Source organism: Homo sapiens, chromosome 12, assembly GCF_000001405.40.
Source record: "Homo sapiens chromosome 12, GRCh38.p14 Primary Assembly".
Classification (NCBI taxonomy): Eukaryota; Metazoa; Chordata; class Mammalia; order Primates; family Hominidae; genus Homo; species Homo sapiens.
The window spans coordinates 58,773,192-58,796,675 of NC_000012.12; the positions used below are offsets into that span (position 1 = coordinate 58,773,192).

General features: G+C 34.3%; 2 long non-coding RNA genes across 2 annotated transcripts in view; one reads left to right on the plus strand and one right to left on the minus strand.

The window, feature by feature from the left end:
- Window positions 1–8,525, minus strand: part of LINC02388 (long intergenic non-protein coding RNA 2388) — a 215,758-nt gene extending 207,233 nt beyond the window's left edge. The window contains exon 1 of the long non-coding RNA NR_120452.1: window positions 8,380–8,525. This is a non-coding gene — a long non-coding RNA (long intergenic non-protein coding RNA 2388). The remainder of the gene's footprint in view (window positions 1–8,379) is intronic.
- LOC100506869 (uncharacterized) overlaps window positions 1–23,484 on the plus strand; it is a 220,968-nt gene that overhangs the window by 181,490 nt on the left and 15,994 nt on the right. The gene's annotated exons all lie outside the window — the stretch shown is intronic.

Genomic DNA, 23,484 nt, shown 5'->3' on the forward strand with positions numbered 1-23,484 from the left:
CTTGTGTGCTCTCTTGCCATGTGATGCCTTCTGCCATGTTATAACACAGCAAGCAGGCCCTTACCAGATACAACCTTTTCGATCTTCCCAGCCTCCAGAACTCCAGGAAATAAATCTCTTTTATTAAGTTACTCAGTCTGTGGTATTCTGTTATAGCAGCAGAAAACAGACTAAAACAAGAACCTTCAATTCCTTACTCAAGTTGACTCTTTCAAATGACTCAAGTGTATCAACCTCTGGTTCTTCAGAATCATCACTGATTTTATGGAAAATAACATGAAAGCTGGTATATAAAAGGGTTATAAAGATGTCGCCTTATAGATGGAGCTCTGTCTTTTTTCAGAATGAGAAGCTACACGCAGTTGCCCTTCTTAACACACCATATTATGAGATTTCATTTTTGTACCATAATTATATAATTTAGACTGGTCCCTCTGATGAACTGTTTTAACAGCATATTTTTATGTTCCTGAGGCATGTGTCAATGGTTCTTTGTATTTACTGGAATACTGAGTGATGACCTAGTATTCAGTTTCTAAGTATATTTGTTTGCATAGCAGTTTTCCAGCTATAATATTCAGAAATTCAAACGTCCCAAGTTCACCATTACAATTATATTGTTAGTAATCTTTTCTTTTATGATGAAAAGGTGCATTTGACTGATGACAAAAGAGCTTATTAATTTTTCTGCATGTGAAAGCTTTGACTTCCTATTAGAAAGCTTAATATCGTGGCTCTTCCAAACTTGTTGGTAGTCATCATCCTTCTTTAGGCTTATTTTTGGAGTTGGATAAGATATGCTTCATTACAAACTGTAGCAGTGGTGTCTGCCTTTTAACTTCAAGAAAATTGCAACCAACATGATTCCAACAGTTAAAACCCAAACTTATCTTTTTGCTGTTTGTTTAACTTTGTTGTTGAAGGCAACATTTGCTCAAATTGGCAGGAATTCTGTTCAACTCATTTTTCTTGGCCAAATATGTCAGCAGTTCTCCATTTTGTCCTTCAATTATTCCCCATACTTGAAAGACATAAAGCCAACTGGCAGTTGTGTGTCTGGTTATTTTCCCATTGCAAGGCTTAGTAGTCTCTCACAAAAATAGAAACCCAGACAGCAACTTTTAACATCTCATTCATATGTCAGTATGGAAACTGAAGGTTTTACCTTAAACTCCCAGAAAGCAAGCACTATGGTTATATTTACAAATGTAATACTCAAACACCAAGTTGATTTTTGAAGATTTGATCAACTAGTCAGTTATTTAGTTCATACCCTGTCAGACAGATAACCATTACAAATGTTATTTATCCAACTAATTGAACTCTAAATTGACTACATAGACAGGTTCTTTTCATAATATAGATAGCCAGAATATTATATTAAACTGACAATAGAATACTACAATGTAAGAATAGTAAAGATAGGCTAACTGATATAAAAAACAATTCCAAAATCTCAGTGACTTAGCACAGTGAAAATATTTCACTCAGTCACATTTCAATGAGAGTGGATTGTTGGAGAAAGGCGAGTCACGTGTCACTCCATTCAGTTATTGGGGGACCTGGGCTCCTTTCCTCTTGGGCCCTCCCTTTTTCTGGATCCATGGAGCCCTCTCTCTTAAGCTAAAGATAGGAAAAAAGCTCAAGAGTTATAAAGGGGAGTATTTTTAGGTTCGGATCTGAATTGCATTACATCACTTTCACACACATTCTATTGTTCAGAATTCGGCCACATGGATCTCCTAATTGCCAGGCAAGCTGGAAACTGTGGTTTCAGCTATGTGCCCAAGAAGAATGGAAACTAGTTTGGTAAATGCTTAGCACTGTTTGCCACAAATGGCACCATACAAAGATGGGACTTTCTTACATATTATTTGTTTACATTGTTGGGATGGTGGTAGAAATAATGATTGTGAAAATGACCAGTGCCAAGAAAGTCTATCAGGTTGGAATATGAAGAAAATGATACCCACACTTCAGATTCACTGACAAACTATTGAGAAAAGTGTATTAAATAAATTAATTTATTTGGCTTATAATACATTCTCATCTGTCTGGAATCTTGTTCTCTAAGTTTTTAGCATAGTTGCTAGAAACCTTATTTCTCCTTCTCAGCTTTTAATGCATTTCTTTCCTTTGTAGCACAAACGAGTATTATCTACAATATATTATCTGCAATAATGCTTCATGTGTATATAGCACTTTAACCTTCACATTTTCTAAAATCTATATAAAATTTGGGAAATAGATATCATTATCCTTGTTTAAAGGAAGATTCAATCATAGATCAGCATCACAGAATCTAACAGAGTAGGAAGACAAGCTTGGAACTCACTAAGGTACAGTTTCTAGAATTCAGTTTGTCTTTTTTTTTTTTTAAATATGGCTCCTCTTATCAGCGTTTACACTGTAAGAACAGGGAAATAAAAGGAAGTAAACATCAAATTCACTAGTCCATTATACCTCTATTTTCTAGATCTAGTAAGTAAACATGAAGAATTTTTATTGGCTAAATTAAGATTGGAGGCTTATTTGTATTTTTTTCCTTCTATAAACAGTCTTATAGTGGTAGTGATACAGTGATTATAAGATGACACTGTTCCCCTCAAAATCTTCTTGTTCATATGCAAAAAGAAGGTAATTTTCCAGAAGCATCAAGGAAAAAATCATTTTAAATATTTTGTTCAATTCAGTCTTTAAGACCCCCAAAACCTAAGTAAATAGTTTGGATCAGCATTTACATTTAATATTCCACTTTACTCCTTTGAGGATCACCTATTTATGGTTTGGAAGAGAACACACAAGGAGCATTCAAATTTAATACTGCAAGAAACATTTTCTGAAAGTAAGTCTACTCACCAGATCTCTCACTGAAACGTAACATTTTTGTAGATGTAAAAGTATTTATCATTTTAATTTTGGGGGGAACACATTCTCATCTTGCAACAAAAGACTTGCAAATTGATTCTTACTTGGGTGGAAATAAAGATGCTTACCATCAATAGGGGAATTAGATTAAAAAGGATATAGGGAGAAATTGTCTTCAGGCCTACTCAATGTGAGATGGGTTTCAGCTGCACCCAACAGCAGTAGTCTAAAACAAACATGATAAGAAACAGAAAAAGGAAGGAAAACTTGGACTACATTACTGCCCACACACAGAACTGCAATGGAAAGAATCACCAGACTCATTGGCATCTGACAGCTGGGAATCAGCAAGTGCTTTCTTGTTCATGTTTTCTTTAAAGACTGTTTTTCTTATCCCACATTCTAAAATTATGAACATATTAATCAAAAGAATTTGTGTTATTTGCATTCATAAAGAGATAGTATGGAAAGAAATAAAAGCAGTAAATAAACATTAGAAGGAAGGTTACATTTCTTTTGTCATTGTTATTAAAAATTATGTACAGTATATTATAAAATAAAAGCTATAATGCAGGAAATCTTTTTTTATCAATTAGTAATATGTCATATATGTTTCTTCTTTAAGTAAAAAGGGAATCTGATATATTCACTTATCTGTAATAATAAATTTTATATGTTTAAATATTAGTGACTGATAACTATAGTGTTTAATAATGTAATGGAATTTTTTGTATTAAATTGCAAATATAGGTTTTTTCTGCTTTGTATTTCTCCCAGAAAATAGCATTGAACATTTCACATAGCAAAACTCAATACATAGTTGTTATAATCAATAATAATCAACATAAGAATAATAACAGTGACTGTGCCTTGGACAGTCATTCTCTTTTCAATCTAATGGTTTCAAGGCCAATTCATCATTTGGAGACTTGTATAGATCAAGATGTTATATCTAAAAGTTTTAAAACTCATTTGGATTCTATTAACATGTCAAAAGCTTTGTTTTTAGGAAGTTTTTAATTTCAACAAATATTTGTCTTAGAAAAAAATAAACAAATAAAAATACAATTTTATTATAAAAATATTTGTTATGTTAATATATACTACTGACTATAACTTGTTTCCGTCAAAAACCCCTGGAGAACAAGAAGAATGCCATCTCAAGAAATGCTGCTACATGTCATTGAGAATGGCAAAGTAAGGACATACAAAAACATCTCCTTCATAAAAGCAACAAGAACTCTGACAAAAACAGTTGAATTTTACTCTTTCAGAACTCTAGAAATTAACCAAAGGCTTCCAACAATCTCAAGATCATTTACTCAAGTAAAACAGCTAAATCTCAGTAAGAACAGTGAACTCTGTGGTGTGTATTTTGTCCTAGTCCCATCCCAGTTCCCCAGTCCTTTGAGAGCCTTAAAAACCAAGCCCCATGCAGTCATGGTGAAAGCCCGCAGCCTCGCAGACATGGGACAGTAAAAAAAAAAAAAAAAAAAAAAGGGCTGGAAGGTGTTCTTCTTCCCAGAAAACTGTCATTTCATCTATTGGTAGTCCCCTGAATAATCCCACTCAAAATCTTGTCTTTTTTTGTCCTTTTATATAATTAATGCACGAGCATGGAAATATTCAAAAGTCTTATCTTTATTTGACCCAACTCAGAACTCTACCAGTGTGAACAGCCTTTTTCCTACGGCATTTGTCAAAAACAATCAGTAGCAGTAGTTTAACATTATAACTGCTTGAAGTTTTGATAACACATGGTGCAAAACAAGTGGAACAAAACATCCAAAAAGAACTTGGGGAATGAAATGTCCATGGGAGGTTTTAAAAAGTTCTGAAATATTTCCCAGAATCCAGAGAGCCACTTATAAACTGGTTTATGTACATGCCCAGGAAAGACCTAAGAAGACCCTATGTTCTCACTTCTGGGTGAGTTTGAGGCCTTGTGTAATCAGGAAGTTGGAACTAAGAGAGTTGTAAACTGCCTGCCTGACATTGAAGGCAAGCCCCACCACACACACTGACTCCCTTAGCAAAGCCTAGGAGACTTATTGGTTTCAGGTATTTAAGTAAATCTCCATCTAATTATTAGCTGATCACTAATGAGTAAAGATTTTAGTGGCCACACATGACAAAGAATACAGATATTACAGAATTAGTTCAGAAATGAATTAAACAAATGAAACATAGAACAACAGCAACAGAAACGAACCCTAGGGATAGGAGAAATCTGATTTCCAGAGATTCCACATTGTACCAACTCAAATGTCCAGTTCTCAATAATTATTACAGGACATGCTGAGAAACAAGAAAATATAGGCTATATACAAGAGTGAAATGATAGGATAGAAACTCTATGTGAAGAATATCAGATGTTGGATATACTAGAAAAGATGTTGTCTATAAATAGCTATTTTAAATATTTTCAGAATGCTACCTGACATAAACAATGTCTCATCAAATAGAAATTATCAATACAGAGATAGGATTGTTTAAAAAGAAACAGAAGGTTCTGAGTTGGAAAGTACAATAACTGAAATGAAAACTTTAGTAGGGGGACTCAGTAGAAGGTTCAACTGGCAGAAGGATCAGTAAACTTGAAGGTAGATTAATCAAGATTATCCAGCCTGAAGAACAGGAAGAAAGAAGAGTGAAGAAAAATTAATAGAGCTTCAGAGTCCTATGGGACACTATCAAGTATATCAATATATGTACAATGAGAGTCAAAACAGAGAGGTGGTAGAGAAAAGACATAAATAAAATTTGAAAAATTAAGCCAAATCTTCCAAATCTGATGGCAAACATTAGTCTACACATCCAAGAAGCACACGTAAATCAAAGTAGAATAAACTCCAAGAGATCTATACTTAAAAATCTCAGAAGCAAACTGCGAAAAGCCAAAGCCAAAGCAATAACCATGAAAGCATCAAGAGAGAAGAAGCTCAACACATACAAAGAATCCTCAATAGTATTGCTATGATTTGAATATTTGCATCCCCTCCAAAATTCATGCTCAAACTTAATCTCCAGTGCAACAGTATTAAAAGGTGAAGTAAAAGCTGGAGTCTTTTAGGAGGTGATATTGGCCATTAAGGCTTTGTCCTCATTATGGAATTAGTGCCTTATGTAAAAACTGGAGGGAACTAGTTTGTCCTTTTTTGCCCTTTCATTTTTTTCACCATGTGAGGATGTGGCAACAAGGCCCTCACCAGACATCAAATGCCAGTACATTGATCTTGGACTTCTCAGCCTCCAGAGCTGTGAGAAATACATTTCTATTTTTTACAAATTATCCAATATCAGATATCTTGTTACAGCAGCATTAGCAGACTAAGCCAAGATAATTAAATGAGAAACTAAGTTAATTTCTGATTAAAAAAATCATGGAGGCCTAAAGGTATTGAAATGACATTCTCAAAGTGAATAAAGAAAAAACTGTCAACCAAGTATTCTCCATATGGTAATACTGTCCTTCAAAAAAAGAGGGAAGAATTAAGACATTCCCATATAATCAAACACTGAGAGACTTTGTCATTAGAAGACCTACCCTATAAGAGATACTAAAGGTAGTTCTTTTTTTTTGTTTTTATATACTTTAAGTTCTGAGGTACATGTGCAGAATGTGCAGTTTTGTTACATAGGTATACACATGCTATGGTGGTTTGCTGCACCCATCAACCCATCACCTACATTAGGAATTTCTCCTAATGCTATCCCTCCCCTAGCCCCCAAGCTTCCCACAGGCCCAGTGTGTGATGTTCCCCTCCCTGTGTCCATGTGTTCTCATTGTTCAACTCCCACTTGTGAGTGAGAACATATGGTGTTTGGTTTTCTGTTATTGTGTTAGTTTGCTGAGAATGATGGTTTCCAGCTTCATCTATGTCCCTGCAAAGGACATGAACTTATCCTTTTTTGTGGCTGCATAGTATTCCATGGTGTATGTGTGCCACATTTTCTTTATCCTGTCTATCAATGCTTTTACACTGTTGGTGGGAGTGTAAATTAGTTCAACCATTGTGGAAGACAGTGTGGCAATTCCTCAAGGATCTAGAATTAGAAATACCATTTGACCCAGCAACCCCATTACAGGGTATATATCCAAAGGAATATAAATAATTCTACTATAAAGACACATGCACATGTATGTTTATTGCAGCACTATTCACAATAGCAAAGACTTGGAACTAACCTAAAGGTAGTTCTTAAGGCTAAAATGAAATTATTCTAAACAGTAACTCATATCCATATGCAGAGATAAAGAGAACCAAACAGATTGCATAAGTAGATATAAAAGACAGTATAGATGAATTTTTTGTTTCTAATATTTTTCCTGTTTGATTTAAAAGACAATGGTATAAAAAAAGCAATAATTATAAATCCGTGCTGATGGGCATACTGTGTATAAAGATACAATTTGCACAGCAACAATAGATAAATAAAAGAAGAGGAAATGGGACTGTATAAGAGCAAAGTTTTTACAAAATATTGAGATTAAGTAGACATTAAACTAGGTTATTATAAATTTAGTATTAATAATCCTACAAAAATAGATAGCAAAAGAAACTACACAGGAATTAAAATAGTACATTAGAAAAATCCTATTTAACACAAAAGAAAGCAGTAATAGAGTAATGAACAGAAATTACATAAGACATATATAAAAAAATTAAAACATAGCAGCCATATATCCTACTTTATCAGTTATTACATTAAGTTTAAATAGATTAAACCTCTACTTAAAAGCAGAGACCATTAGAATGAATAGAAAACATAATTCAACTACATGCTGACTACAACAGACGTATTTTAAAATTCAAAGACAGAATTAGATTGAAAGTAAAAGGATAGAAAAAGATATATCATACAAGCAGTAACTAAAAGAGAACTGGAATAACATACTACTATCAGATAAAATAGACTTAAAACTATTATTTTAAAAAGGATTAATTAAATAATTATAATTTAACTTTAATAATTAAAAATTATTTACAAAAAGGATATTTTATGAAAAAAGGGTCAATCCATAAAGAAGATATGATTATTATAAATATGTATGCAATCATAATGATCAAGAGCCTCAAAATACATGAAGCAAAACTGATAGAACTGAAGGAGAAATATACAATTCAACAATAATAGGTGAAGACTCCAATACCTCACTTTCAATAATGAATAGAACAACTAGACACAATATTAACGAAACAGAAGACTTGAACAACACTATAAATCAGATGGACCTAAATTATATTTATAGAACACTCCACAGAACAACAGCAGAATATACATTCTTCACAAGTCCTTTGGACCAGGTTCACCATGAGCCATTTACTAATTCCAGAGGAGAACTCCTACTACATGGAGAATAACAAAGATCATCGCAATGCCAACCACCAGAACTAAAAGTTGAAACACTTCTGTACACTACATCTTGGGCTGTAATTTTTATCACTTGCAGAAGTCCAGTGAGACAGAACACTCATACAAATTAAGAAAAGCAATTCAGTTACTCACAGGTATGTAGCAAGGGACAGCAGAAGCTATGAATTACGGCAAGCCAGTCCCTACGTCTCGGAAAAGCTGCCCAGGGTGGTGAAAGCTGCCCAGGGTGGTGGACTGAGTCTCTGCAAGTGCCTCACATCTCACTGCAACTGAGGAACCCCAAAAACACTCTGCTCTGTTTTTTATACTACAGAGACAACTTAGATTACTGTGCTAAAACATTGTAGGACATCCTGTTCTAGGAGGAACAGAAATAGAGCCCAGATTGTTCCAAACAGTTTCTCCTTATCTCAGGATGCTGTGTTCTCGGCACATTCTATAGCTATTCCGAAAATTACAAGTGAGATGGCGGAAAGAGCTGGGCCAGCCAAGGTTAGCCAGAGCCCTGTCCTGCAAATCAACATGAGGCATTCTCCAGGACAGACTACATATTAGTCCACAAAACCAATCTCAATAACTTTAAAATAACTGAAATTAAACAAAGTATGTTTTATGACCACAATGGAATGAAATTAGAAATTAATAGTAGAAGGAAAGTGAGCAAATTCATTAATAAGCAAAAGTGAAACAACGTAATCCTAAACAACCAATTGATCAGAGAAGACACCACAAGGGAAATTAGAATGTACATTGAGATTAAAAACTAGTACAGACACAAAACACTAAAGTGTATGGAATGCAAACAAAGCAGTGTTTAGAAGGAAATTTATAGTTCTAGATCCTTGAGGAATTGCCACACTGTCTTCCACAATGGTTGAACTAGTTTACAGTCCCACCAACAGTGTAAAAGTGTTCCTATTTCTCCACATCCTCTCCAGCACCTGTTGTTTCCTGACTTTTTAATGATCGCCATTCTAACTGGTGTGAGATGGTATCTCATTGTGGTTTTGATTTGCATTTATCCGATGACCAGTGATGTAAGAACTTAAAGTATAATAAAAAAAGAAGGAAATTTATAGCTATAAACATATATTTTTAAAATATAAACCCCCAAATTAACAATCTATTAACATATGCAAGTCAATAAACGTGATACACTACATAAACAGAATTAAAAACAAAAAATCACATGATCATCTCAATAGACACAGAAAAAGCATTTGACAAAATCCAGGATCCCTTTATGATTAAAACCCTCAGCAAAATTGGCATAGAAGGTGTGATGGTTAATACTGAATGTCAACTTGATGGGATTGAAGGATGCAAAGTATTGTTCCTGGGTGTGTCTGTGAGAGTGTTGCCAAAGGAGATTAACATTTGAGTCAGTGGACTGGGAGAGACAGGTCTACCCACAACCTGGGTGGGCACCATCTAATCAGCTGCCAGCGCAGCTAGAATAAGGCAGGCAGAAGGATGTGGAAGGACTAGACTTGCTGAGTCTTCCAGTCTTCATCTTTCTCCCTTGCTGGATGCTCCCTGCCCTCAAACATAAGACTCCAAGTTCTTTGGCTTTTGGACTCATGGACTTACACCAGTGGCTGGCCAGGGACTCTCGGGCCTGTGGCCACAGACTGAAGGCTGAACTGTCAACTTCTCTACTTTTGACGTTTTGGGACTCGGACTGATCCACCACTAGCTTCCTTGCTCCTCATCTTGCAGATGGCCTATCGTGGGACTTCACCTTGTGATTGTGTGAGTCAATTCTCCTTAATAAACTCCCTTTCATATATACATATATCCTATTAGTTCTGTCCTTCCAGAGAAACCTGATTAATACAGAAGGGACATACCTTAATGAAATAAAAGCCATCTATGACAAACCAACAGCCAACATAATACCGAAAGGAAAAGAATTGAAAGCATTCCCCTTGAGAACTGGAACAAGACAAGGCTTCCCACTCTTACCACTCGTCTTCAACACGGTACTGGAAATTCTAGCCATAGCAATTTGACAAGAGAAAGAAATAAAGGACATTCAAATCGGTAAAGAAGAAGTCAAACCATCATTGTTTGCTGATGATATAATTGTACAACTAGAAAACCCTAAAAACTCCTCCAAAAAGCTCCTAGAACTGATAAATGAATTCAGCAAAGTTTCAGGATACAAAATTAATGTACACAAATCAGTAGCTCTGCTATACACCAACAGCGACCAAGCAGAGAATCAAATCAAGAACTCAAATCCTTTTACAATAGCTGCAAAAAAAATAAAATACTTAGGAATATACCCAACCAAGGATGTGAAAGACCTCTACAAGGAAAACTACAAAACACTGCTGAAAGAAATCATGGATGACACAAACAAATGGAAACAGATCCCATGCTCATGGATGGGTAGAATCAACATTGTGAAAATGGCCTTACTGCCAAGAGAAATCTACAAATTCAATGCCATTCTTATCAAAATACCACTATCATTCTTCACTAAACTAGAAAAAAAATCCTAAAATTCATACGGAACCAAAAAAGAGCCCTTATAGCCAAAGCGAGACTAAGCAAAGAGAACAAATCTGGAGGCATCACATTGTCTGATTTCAAGCTATACTATACGGCCATAGTCAGCAAAACAGCATTGTACTGGTACAAAAATAGGCACATAGACCAATGTAACAGAATAGAGAACCCAGAAATAAATCCAAATACTTACAGCCAACTGATCTTCAACAAAGCAAACAAAAACATAAAGTAGGAAAAGGACACTCTATTTAACAAATGGTGCTTGGATAATTGGCAAGCCACATGTAGAAAAATTAAACTGGATCCTCATCTCTCACCTTACACAAAAATCAACTCAAGATGGATCAAAGACTTAAATCTAAGACCTGAATCCATAAAAATTCTAGAAGATAACATCAGAAAAACCCTTCTAGACATTGGCTTAGGCAAAGACTTCATGACCAAGAACCCAAAAGCAAATGCAACAAAAACAAAGATAAATAGATGGGACTTAATTAAACTTAAAGGCTTCTGCACAGCAAAAGAAACAATCAGCAGAGTAAACAGACAACCCACAGAGTGGGAGGAAATCTTCACAATCTATACATCTGACAAACAACTTATATCTAGAATCTACAAGGAACTCAAACAAATTAGCAAGAAAAAACCGAACAATCCCATCAAAAAGTGGGCTAAGAACATGAACAGACAATTCTCAAAAGAAATACAAATGTCCAACAAACATATGAAACAATGCTCAACATCATTAATGATCAGGGAAATGCGAATCAAAACTATAATGAAATATCACCGTACTCCTGCAAAAATGGCCATAATAAAAAAAATCACAAAATAATAGATGTTGTCAGGGATGTGGTGAAAAGGAACACTTTTACACTGCTGGTGGGAATGTAAACTAGTACAACCACTATGGAAAAGTGTAAAGATTCCTTAAAGAACTAAAAGTAGAACTGCATCTGATCCAGCAATCCCACTATTTTCCAAGAGGAAAAGAAATCATTATATAAAAAAGATACTTGCGCATGCAAGTTTATAACAGCACAATTCGCAATTGCAAAAATATGGAAACAGCCCAAATGCCCATCAATCAACAAGTGGATAAATATAATTTCTTTATCCACCAGCGGGAAGGGAGGAAGGGGGACAAGGATTGGAAAACTACCTATTGAGTACCATGTTCACTACTTGAGGGATGTGTTTACTAGAAACTCAAATTCCAGCATTAAGCAATAGATCAATGTAATAAACATGCACATGTAAAAAAAAAACAACATAACCTTCCACCTTAAGAAAATGGAAAAAGAAAAACAAAGTAAACTCAAAGCAAGCAGAAAAAGATAAGAGCAGAAATGAATGAAATAAAGAATAGAAAGATAATAGAGAAGATCGAGAAAACGAGTTAGTTCTTTGAAAGTGAGAAGTCGGGGTAATAGCCAAAAACCTTTGTATCATTTTTGAAGGCAGACACCACAGGGAAAGGCTTTTACTGGCAGGCCTAAAGGGAGAAAGCTGCCCCCTTGCCTCCCCAGATTTTGTGCACAGTTGGTGCATTGCCATCTCTGATGAGAGTTACAGTCAAGAACTAAGACCTCGCTGACCTGTCATGCTCTTACATATGTCAGCATTCCTGGACTAGGCCCCCATTCAGAGGTCTCTTTATTTGGAGCCATAGCAGAGGCCTTCTTTGGGTACCTCTGCAGAGATTCCTTATTGGGGAAAGGAGGAAGGAAACACTAAAGATACTTTTTTTCACTCTGACTGAATACTCAATACTTTTCCACTCCAAGTCCTTTTCCCTTGCTTTCACCTGGCTCCTGGGTCCATAAAACTGAAAGAAGCTTTTGTTCCGGGTTCTCTCAATATTGAGATCATCTTGACATCTGTGCAGATCCATCTGACAACTGACCAGTGCCATTCAGTGGGAGGAAATAAACTGGGGCTGGGTAAGGGGGTCAGGAATCAGTGCTTTCTCTGGTTTAGTGTCTTGATCAATACTATTGCAGTAAGTGATTAAAGGCTTAACTATTAATATTACATTTATTTTGCTTAATGTCTTAACTGGCTACTCTAGCAGCTCACTTCTCCGCAGCTCATCTCAGTTCCTAAGAAAAAGCACATCAAAACTGAAAACCCTTTAGCTAGACTGACCAAGAAAAAAAAGAGAGTACTCAGTTTATTAAAATCAGGTATGAAAGAGGGAGCATTACTACTGACATTATAAAATTTTTTTAAAAAGGATTATAGGAGAATACAATCAATAATTGTATATCAACAAATTGGATAACCTAGGTGAAATGGACAAATTCCTGGAAAGGTACAAGCTACTAAAAATGACTCAAGAAGAAATTAAAAATATGAATAGAACTATAACAAATAAGACATTAAATCCACAATAAAAAAATTTCCCACAAAGAAAAGCCCAGAATCAGAAGGCTTCACCAGTGAACTCTACCTAATGTTTAAAGGACAATTAACAGCAATATTTCTCAAAATCTTCTAAAAAATGTAAGAGGAAAGAACACTTTCCAACTCCTTTCACAAGGCCCGTATTAAACTGATATCAAAAACAAAGACATCACAAGAAAAGCAAACTGCAGACAACATTCTTTATGGATATAGACGCAAACTCTCAACAAAATAATAGAAAACGAATCTACCAACACACGAAAAGGATTATGCAATATGACTAAGTAGGATTTATCCCAGGAATGCAAGTTTGGTTCAACATATGAAAATCAATCAATGTAATATACCAATTAGTAGATTGTTATAATCATAATATATACCTTAAAAAGCATTTGACAAAATTCAACTCCAATTTATAATAAAAAACACTCAACACACTAGAAACAGAAGGAAATTTTCTCAATCTGATAAAGAAATTGTATAAACCTATAGCAAAATGTCATATTTAATGGTGAAATACTGAATACTTTCTCCTAGGATTAAAAACAAGGCAAAGATATCCACTGTCACCACTTCCATTTAGTATTTTACTGGAAGTTTTAGCCAGGGTAATTAATCAAGAAAAAGGAAAGGAAGTCTCCCATAGTGGAAAGGAAGAAGTAAAAGTACAGATTGGGCATCTCTAAGGCAAAAATCCAAAATCCAAATGTACTAAAATCCAAAACTTTTTCAGTAGCAACATGATGCCACAAGTGGAAGTATTCACACCTCATCTCCTGTGATGGATCACAGTCAAAATGCAGGCACATAACACACAGTTTATTTAGCATCCCCAAGGGACGCTCCCAGCCCTCTTCCCTTGTAATATGTCTTTTACAGGCTTGTTCAGATTTCCTCATGCAAGCACACCCACAGAGGGTAATACGATAGCAGGAGTGTCGGTTAGAAGTACCAACAGTAGGTTCCTCATAATGGCCCGAGTGGAGCTAAAACCTACATACATTAATCACTGTGTTTCTGTTGTTGTTGTTTTGCTTATTCTCTGCTCTGTGGTGAAAAGATAATGCTGAAAATGTCAAAAAGGCCTGTCAATACCCATATGGGTAACAATAATAAGAAAAAGAGAAAGTCCCATTTGTCTATGTTTGTTTTTGTTGCATTTTCTTTTGAGGTCTTAGTCATAAATTATTTGCATAGGCCAATGTCCAAAAGTTTGTCCTAGGTTTTCTTCTAGGACTTTAATAGTTTCATGTCTTACATTTTAAGTCTGTAGTCCATTTTGAGTTAATTTTTGTATATGGTGAAACATGAGTCCAGTTTCATTCTTCTGCATATGGTTAGCTAGTTTTCCCAGCACCATTTAATTAAACTAAAGAGTTTCTGCATAGCAAAAGAAATAATCAACAGAGCAAAAAGACAAACCTATAGAAAGAGAGAAAGTATTTGCAAACTATGCATCTGACAAAGGTCTAATATCCAGAATCTATAAAGAACTTAAACAAATCAACAAGAAAAAAACAAAGAACCTCATTAAAATGTGGGCAAAGGACATAGGCACTCCTTAAAAGAAGACATAGAAGCAACCAACAAACATGAAAAAATGTTCAACATCACTAATTATCAGAGAAATGCAAATTAAAACCACAATTAAATACCATCTCACACCAGTCAGAAAGGCTATTACTAGAGTCAAAAAATAACAGATGTTGCCAAGGGAGAAAAGGGAATGCTTCCACACTGTTGGTGGAAATATTAAATTAGTTCAAACCCTATGGAAAACAGTATGAAGATTTCTCAAAGAACGAAAAATAGAACTACCATTCAACGTGGCAATTCCGCTACTGGGTACCTAGCCAAAGGAAAAGAAATCATTCTATCAAGAAGATACCTGCACTGGTATGTTCGCTCTGTCGCCCAGGTTGGAGTGCAGTGGCGTGATCTCGGCTCACTGCAAGCTCCGCCTCCTGGGTTCACGCCATTCTCCTGACTTAGCCTCCTGAGTAGCTGGGACTACAGGTGCCCACCACCACACCCGGCTAATTTTTTGTATTTTTAGTAGAGACAGGGTGCACTGGTATGTTTAAGGCAGAATTATTCACAATAGCAAAGTCATGGAATCAACCTAAATGTCAATCAACAGTTGACACTTAGGTTGATTCCATGGTACATATGAATATACCGCGTTTTTAATACAAACAACTGTTACGGATTTCATTCCATGGTATATGTGTGCATACATATTGGTATATGTTGATTGACACTTAGGTTGATTCCATGGTATATATACCTACCGCATTTTTAATCCAATCACCTGTTATGGACTGTATTTCATGCTATGTGCATTTATCATGGAACACTACACAGCCATAAAAAAGAATGAGATTATGTCCTTTGCAGCAACATGGATGGAGCTGGAGGGCAGTATCCTAAGTGACATTACTCACAGAAAAAAATCAAATATTGCTTGTTCTCACTTATACGTAAGAGCTACACAATGGATACACATGGACATAAACATGAAAATAGCTGCTGAAGATTCCAAATGTGGGGAGGGTGCAAGGGAGATGAGGGTTAAAAATTACCTATCAGATACAATGTTTACTATTTGGGTGATGGCTTCACTAGAAGCCCAAACCTCACCATTATGCAATATATCTGTCCAACAAACTTGCACATGTACTCCGTGAGTCTACAGTAAAATAAAATAACGAAAAAGGAAAAGTCCAAATCAGTGTATGTATTGATCTTAATGTTACAATAATAAGTCCCTATTGACTGATTTATATAAACTTGACTAGTAACATCCAGAAATTTTTTTTTTTAAAGAGAGCGAGAAAGCATTTTTGTATATAGCACAGAAAATCAGGCTATTGGTGAAACTGAGCAGTGGTGTAAATGTGAAATGCCTTATAGAAGTATGGTGTCACAATGACCACCATATATGACCTGAAGAAACAGAAGGATAAACTGTCAAAATTCTATGCTGAAAGGGATGAACAGAAGAAAAATAGGAAAACACTGCATAAAGCTAAAAATGAAGATTTCGTTTACGTACTGAAGGGGTGGATCTATCAGCATTTCAGTGAACACATGACACTCAATAGTATGTTGATGAGGAAACTAAGATCTATCACAATGAACTGAAAATTGAAGGGTATTGTAAATGTTCAACAGGCTAGTTGCAGAACATTAAGAAAAGTCACAGCATTAAATTTTTAAACTTTTATGGTGATAAAGCATCTGCTGATCATGAAGCAGCCAAGAAATTCAGTGACAAGTTTGCCAAGGTCATTGCTTGTGCAAATCTGATGCCAGAATAAATGACTTCAGAAAGACACTGATTACAATTTCCCATAAGTTTGGTATGTGGTGTGTCTATTTTTGTTTGTTTCTAAGAAATTTTTAAATTTCTCTTTATATTTCTTCTTTTAATCATTGGTTGTGCAGAAGTGTGTTATTTAATTTCCATGTACTTGTGAATTTCTCAATGTTCCTCCTGTTATAAATTTCTACTTTCATACCTTTATGATTGGAAAAATACTTGATATGATTTCAGTCTTCTCAAATTTGTTAAGATTTTTTTTGTGGCCTAACATATGATCTGTCCTGGAGAATGTTCCATTTGCACTGGAGAAGAATGTGTATTCTGCTGCTGGGTAGTATGTTCTGTGTATGCCTATTAGGTCTATATGGTCTATAGTTTTGTTTGAACCCACTATTTCCTTAAAGATTTTCTGTCTGTATCTCCATTATTGAGAGTGGAGCAATAAAGTTCCACCATTATTGCTATTTATTTCTCCTTTCAGTTCTGTTAGTATTTGCTCTATATGCTTAGATATTCATGTGTGGTATATAAATATTTACAATTGTTCTATCTTCTTGATTTATTGACCCCTTTATCATTAAATAATAACCTTCATTGTCTCTTGTGATTATTTTAGACTTAAAGTCTATTGTTCTAATATAAGTACAATCTACCAAGACTGAATTATGAAGAAATAAAAATCTGAACAGAAAAATATTCAGCAAGAAGATTGAATCAGTAATCAAAAACTTCCCAGCAAAGAAAAGCCCAGGTGCAGATGCCTTTACTGGTGACTTCTTTCAAATATTTAATGAATTAACACCAATCCTTCTCAAGTGTTTCAAAAAAATTGAAAAAGTGAGAACACTTGCTTCCAAATTTATTTTGTGAAGCCATCTTCACCCTGACACCAAAGCCAGATAAGAACACTCTGAGAAAAGAAAATTACAAGCCAATATCCCTGATGAACTTAGATACAAAATTTCTCAAAAAAATGCTAGCAAACCAAATTCAACAGCACATTAAAAGTATTATACATGATGATTCAGTAGGATATATCCTTAGGCTGCAAAGATGGTTCAATGTACACGAATCAATAAATGTCATACACTGCAGCAACAGAAAGAATGATAAAAATCATATGATCATCTCGATTAATGCAAAAAGTTGACAAAATCCAACATCATTTCATGATAAAAACTCTCAACAATGTGACTATAAAAGAAATGTACCTCAACATAATAAAGGCCTTATATTACAAGCCCAAAGCTAACACCATACTAAATGGTGAAAAGTTGAAAGCTTTTCTTCTTAAGATTAGGACAAGACAAGGATGTTTACTCTCAATGCTTCTCTTAAACATAGTACTGAAAATCTTGGCCAGGGTGATTAGGCATAAAAATAAATAATAGGCGCCAGAATTAGAAAGAAAGAAGCAAAATTGTTCCTGTTTGCAGACATGATGTTACATGTAGAAAACCCTAAAGACTCTACCATAAAACTGTTAGAATAAAGAAATTCATTAAAGTTGAAGGATACAAAAGCAACATACAAAATTCAATTTTGTTTCTCTACACTAATAATGAACTATCTGAAAAAGAAATCAAGAAAACAATTCCATTTACAATAGCATTAACAACAATAAAATACTTAGGAATGAAGTTAATCTAAAAGGGTAAAAAATCTGTATGCTAGAAAACGATACTGCATTAATGAAAAAAAATTGAAGACACGAAAAATGGAAAGATATCCTGTGTTCATGGACTGATATAATTAATATTGTTAAAATGTTCATACTACCCAAAGTGATCTATAGATTCAATGCAATCCCTATTAAAATCACAATGGCATCTCTAACACGAAAAAAAAATTCTTTAAATTAATCTCTAATAGCCAAAGCATCTTGTGGAAGAAGAAAGAAGCTGAAGGTATCACACTTCCTGATTTTAAACAATATTACAAAGTTATAATAATAAAAATAGTGTGGTATTAGCATGAAAACAGACACTAGACCAATTGAACAGAATAGAGAGTTCAGAAATAAAACCCATGCATATATAGCTGAATAATCTTTTACAAGGGCGTCAAGAATACACAATGAGGAAAGGTCTATGTAATAAATAGTGTTGGGCACATTGAATGTTCACATCTGCAGGAATAAAGCTAGACCCCTACCTTATACCGTGTACAAAAATTAACTCAAATAAATAAAACTGAGAGCTTAAATTATACAACTCTTAAAGGAAACATAGGCACAAATCTTTGTCTTACATATCACGTCAAAAGCATAATCAGTAAAAGAAAAATTAAAACTTTCTATTGAAATTTAAAACTTTTATGCTTGAAAGGGCACTATCAGGAAAGTGAAACGATAACCCACACAATGAGATAAATGTTTTCAAATAATATATCTGATAAGGGGCTTTTATCCAAAATATATAAAGTATTCTTACATTTTAATAATTTTAGAAAGCCCAAATAATCCAATTAAAAAATTTGAAGATATACAAATTGCCAATGAGCACATAAAAAGATGTTAAACATTATTGATAGTTAGGGAAATGTAAAATAAAATCACAATAAGGTATTCCTTCACATCTGTTAGGATGATTATAATTTAAAAGAAAAACAGAAAATAACAAGGATTTTCAAGGATGTGGAGAGATTGGGATCCTCCTACATTGCTAGTAGAAATGCAAAATGGTACAGAAACTGTGGAAAACAATTTGGTAGTTTCTCAAAAATGTAAACACAGAATTACCATGTGACCCAGCAATTTTACCCCTAGATATATATTCAAAAAAATTAAAAGGATATGTCCCACAAAAACTTGTACATGAATGTGCATAGTAACATTATTCACAATAGTCAAAAAGTAGAAACATTCTAAATGTTTATCAAATTATGAATGGATAAAACAACATATATCCATACAATGAAACAGTATTTGGCCATAAAAATGAATAAATTTCTATAACATGCTACAACATGCAGTAACCTTGAAATATTATGCTAAGTGCAAGAATACAGACATGCAAAGGTTATATATTATATGATTCTATTGAAGTGAAATGCTCATATAGGTAAAAGAGACAGAAAGTAGACAAGTGGCTACCAAAGGCTGAAGGAAGGGAGAAATGGGAAATGACAGCTTATAGGCATAGGGGTTATTTTGTGGATGATAAAAATGTTTTGAAATTAGATGATGGTAATGGTTGTACAATTTTGTGAGTATACTGAAAACCACTGAATTGTTCACTTTAAAAGGAAAAATTTTTTATGTGTAAATTATATCTCAATAAAAAAAGAATTAGTGCTGGTTTTTCATAATGTTGCCAGAGTGTATTTGAGATACAGCTAATGAATTCTTTATTTTATATAATTTGCATAGTAGTCATATTTCCCATGCTCTGTCTTTTGCTTTTTATAAGAAAACATACTTCATGTAATCATTGGCATCATTATTCTATAATTGTCTACATAAAAGAGATATAAGAAAACTACTGACTATCATAAACAGACAAAATTGATTTACAAGGTAAATAAAACAAGGTAGAATAGCTAATTGGAAATTCTCAAAGATATAAAGCAAAAACATTTACAGGTTTGGTAGTATTTTTGTGTAGGACTCTATATGTCTATATATTTATGTGTGTGCATGTGTCAGGGAATAGTAATAAGTAAAAGGTATGTTTCTCATTAATGTGAAAGCTGTATGCATCCAGAGATCTAAAGTGTCAGTAGCATGGTAACTGGTAGATTACTTACAAAGTGAAAGTGTGCTGATGGTGTTAAAAAAAAAAAAATCTACTGTGATCAATGAGTTTCCCATTATGTGCCACAGTCATAAAGAGTCCTGGGCTCGCCAAAAATGAAAGATAAAGAGTAATAACTGCTATAATTTTCTGTTGAATCACCTAGTTGTATAAGGGAAATATTTTTTTCATTTTGCTTGATGGATTTGTCTCCAGCAGTGCAGAATTAATATATTCATTTATTTCTATACCTTTCTACCCGTTTTTTAAAAATCAAGTAACTTTAGTTAAGATTTTTTCACTTTAATAATCACAGTTTTAATTTGAGCATTAAAACTTAAAGAAATAGGACTCATTCTTACAGTAATTTTATTTCTAAAATATTTATCAGTTAAAGTAAAATTTCAATGCTGTCACAAAGATTTCTGAATAATTTATTATTAAAAAATTTTAAACTTTTTTCCTATTAGACTCAAATTATATATTATGCTCCATTCTTAATTAAGTTATTTCTACATATTTATGTTAAAACTTTGGTAGTAAGTTTTTTGAGTTTCTAATTTGTGGAGATTTTTAAAATTGTTATATTCTTATACATGATTCAACCATGTGATTATTTCAGCTGTTGTCTCTTTTGAAAGCCATGTTTTTCTATTTCAATGCTCTGGGATGCCTACATTTGTTCTTCTTAAGAGTTTTCTGTTTAAAACTATTATAGTACATTATTTTTCTCAGAGAAGAAATGAACTGTAAGTTGCATAATTGACTTTAGTTATTGCCCATGTTACTATTTTTTTACTTTTTTTATTATATTATACTTGCCTTTGATTCCTACATTCTTTGTGATTAGGTATGATATTAATGAGAAATAAATGACCATTATTTGGAGACAGAAAAGCAGGGGAAAAGAAACAGTAGATAAGTTAGTTAAGGAGGTAAAAAGAGAAAGGGCAATTGAGAGTCTAACTAGGTTTTACTTACATTCATTTAAAAAAAAATAAAAAACTCTTAATCGTAGCTTTGTTTTAAAAATAAAAAATTTTACGCAGGACATGGAATATATTAATGTATTCTTATGATATTACCACACATCCCTGGTAGCTCAAAAGAATTCTCTCTGCCCAAGATTTTCACCAGAATATGTAAAGATGAGGCTGGGTCAGCATGGGTTGGTTGCATAAACTTTTTCAGGTTATTTGACCAAGATTTTGAGGTCTTGAATTATGGACATTTAACTTCATATTTTTATAATTGTACAACAGTTAAAGTCTTCAAAAGTAAAAGACAATTCACACTGAAAACAAATTTTTGCTGTAAGTTGTTTTTTAATAGAAAAACATACAAATCAACTGTGTCATTAATTAGCTCAATATTTACCCAATAGTCTATATATGCATGTCTGTTTTGCAATCTCTACAAAATCATAAAGTTGTTATAGATTGGCAGCGCCAAAGGCAAGTTTTTTCAAATATATGTTGGTTATCTTTTGCTGCATAACAAATTATCCCAAACTTAGCAAGTTAAAATGGCAAACAGCTTAGCTGGGTCAAAGTCTCTAATAAGGTAGCTGTCAAGCTGTCAGCTGGGGCTGTAGTCATCTCAAACCATAACTGGGCTGAAGAATTCACTTTCAACCTCACTCACATGGTTGTTGGCAGGGTGTGGTTCCTCACATGCCATCTGCAACTGAAACCTTTGGTTTCTTGGGATGTGAGCCTCTCTATGGGTTTTCTGAATGACCTCATGATATGGAAGCTTGCTTCTCTCGGTATACTTGGTGAGAGAAAGAGAACGCGCATGTACGAGAGAGTGCACACACCCGAGATGGAGGCCAGTCTTTTTAAAACTTAATCTGGAAGTGGTATCACATTACTTCTGTCACATTCCATTTGTTGCAAGTGAATCACTAAGTGTAATCTATGCTTAAGGGAAGAGGATTCACAATGAACATCAGGTGGCAGAATCACTGACGGCCATCTTAGAGGCTAGCTAACACTATATACCAAAGTTTCCCTCAGTTGCTAGAAAATCGGCCACACAGAACTGTACTCTTTTCTGTAGACAAAATAATGACTTCTGAATTTTCATTTTGGGCAACCAGGTAAATAGTAACACCATTTATTAAGAGAGCACTTGTGGAAGGCTGGGTTTGAGGAAGGAGGTCATGAGTTCAGGTACACACATATTAAATGTGTTAGGTTTGTAGTTTTTCTAAGATTTCCAGTTGGAGATTTTATGTAGGCAATTTGCTACTTGAGTCTGGAGCTCAGAGGAAAACTTTGGAATGAAGATACTCACTTGAAAGTATTCATAATATAGATGGTAATTAATAATATGGGCATGGATAAAATCATGAAGTTGAGAATACAGAGTAAGAAGAGGAAGAGACCAGTGACAAAACCTCTAAGAACTCAAGATCAAAAACCAGATAAAGGAAAGTGATCTAGCAAGAAAATCTGAGAATTAGTCCTAGAAGTAAATGAAAATGAGGGAATTTGGTGATAAGGAGGCTAGTGTTGAGATTGTGTCAAGAAGACATAGTACTCTACACTCTCGAATGATGCTGAGAGAGTCAAACAGCAGAAGTCTGTCTAGAAAAATGCTGACTGGCTTAGTTTGATTGTTGCAGGAACCATGTGCATGAAGCGGTGGGAGAGGGCCACAGCCTGGAGTGAGTTGAGGACTAAGTGGCTGGTTAGTGAATCGGTGAGCTTGGGTGACTTTCTCAAAGCTTTGTAAAAGAGAGAAAATATACAGTAACAGTAGGAAAGGGAAGTAGAGTCCAAAGATGGTATTTTCTTTAAAATATGAAAATGAATTGCATATGTTTAAATGATGGGAAGAGTGCAACAGAAAGAAGTTAAAAGAACAAGAAAGAAAGTTGTAATGAATAATGTGAGTTTCTGTGGAAAGTTGGGATGTGGGTCCTATAACACAGATGGAGGATTATCTCCAGAACTATAATAAGATGGAAAGAAAACAGAAGATGTGGGAAATAAGGATGCAGGCAGGTTTCTAGGTTTGATGGCAGAAAAGTGAAGGCATTTTTTTCTGATGGTTTCATTTTCTCTGTGAAGTAGGAGAAGAGGTCATGTGCATATTAATGCTGTTATTATTACCCATGCTGTATTTCTGCTAATTAAAGAAACTTTCTCTGAAATAATGGTATATAAGTAACCACCTATTAGGTGAGGAAACAATTTACTCATTCATTAAACAAATGCTTCCGAGTACCTGTCTGCCTGCCCAAACTCA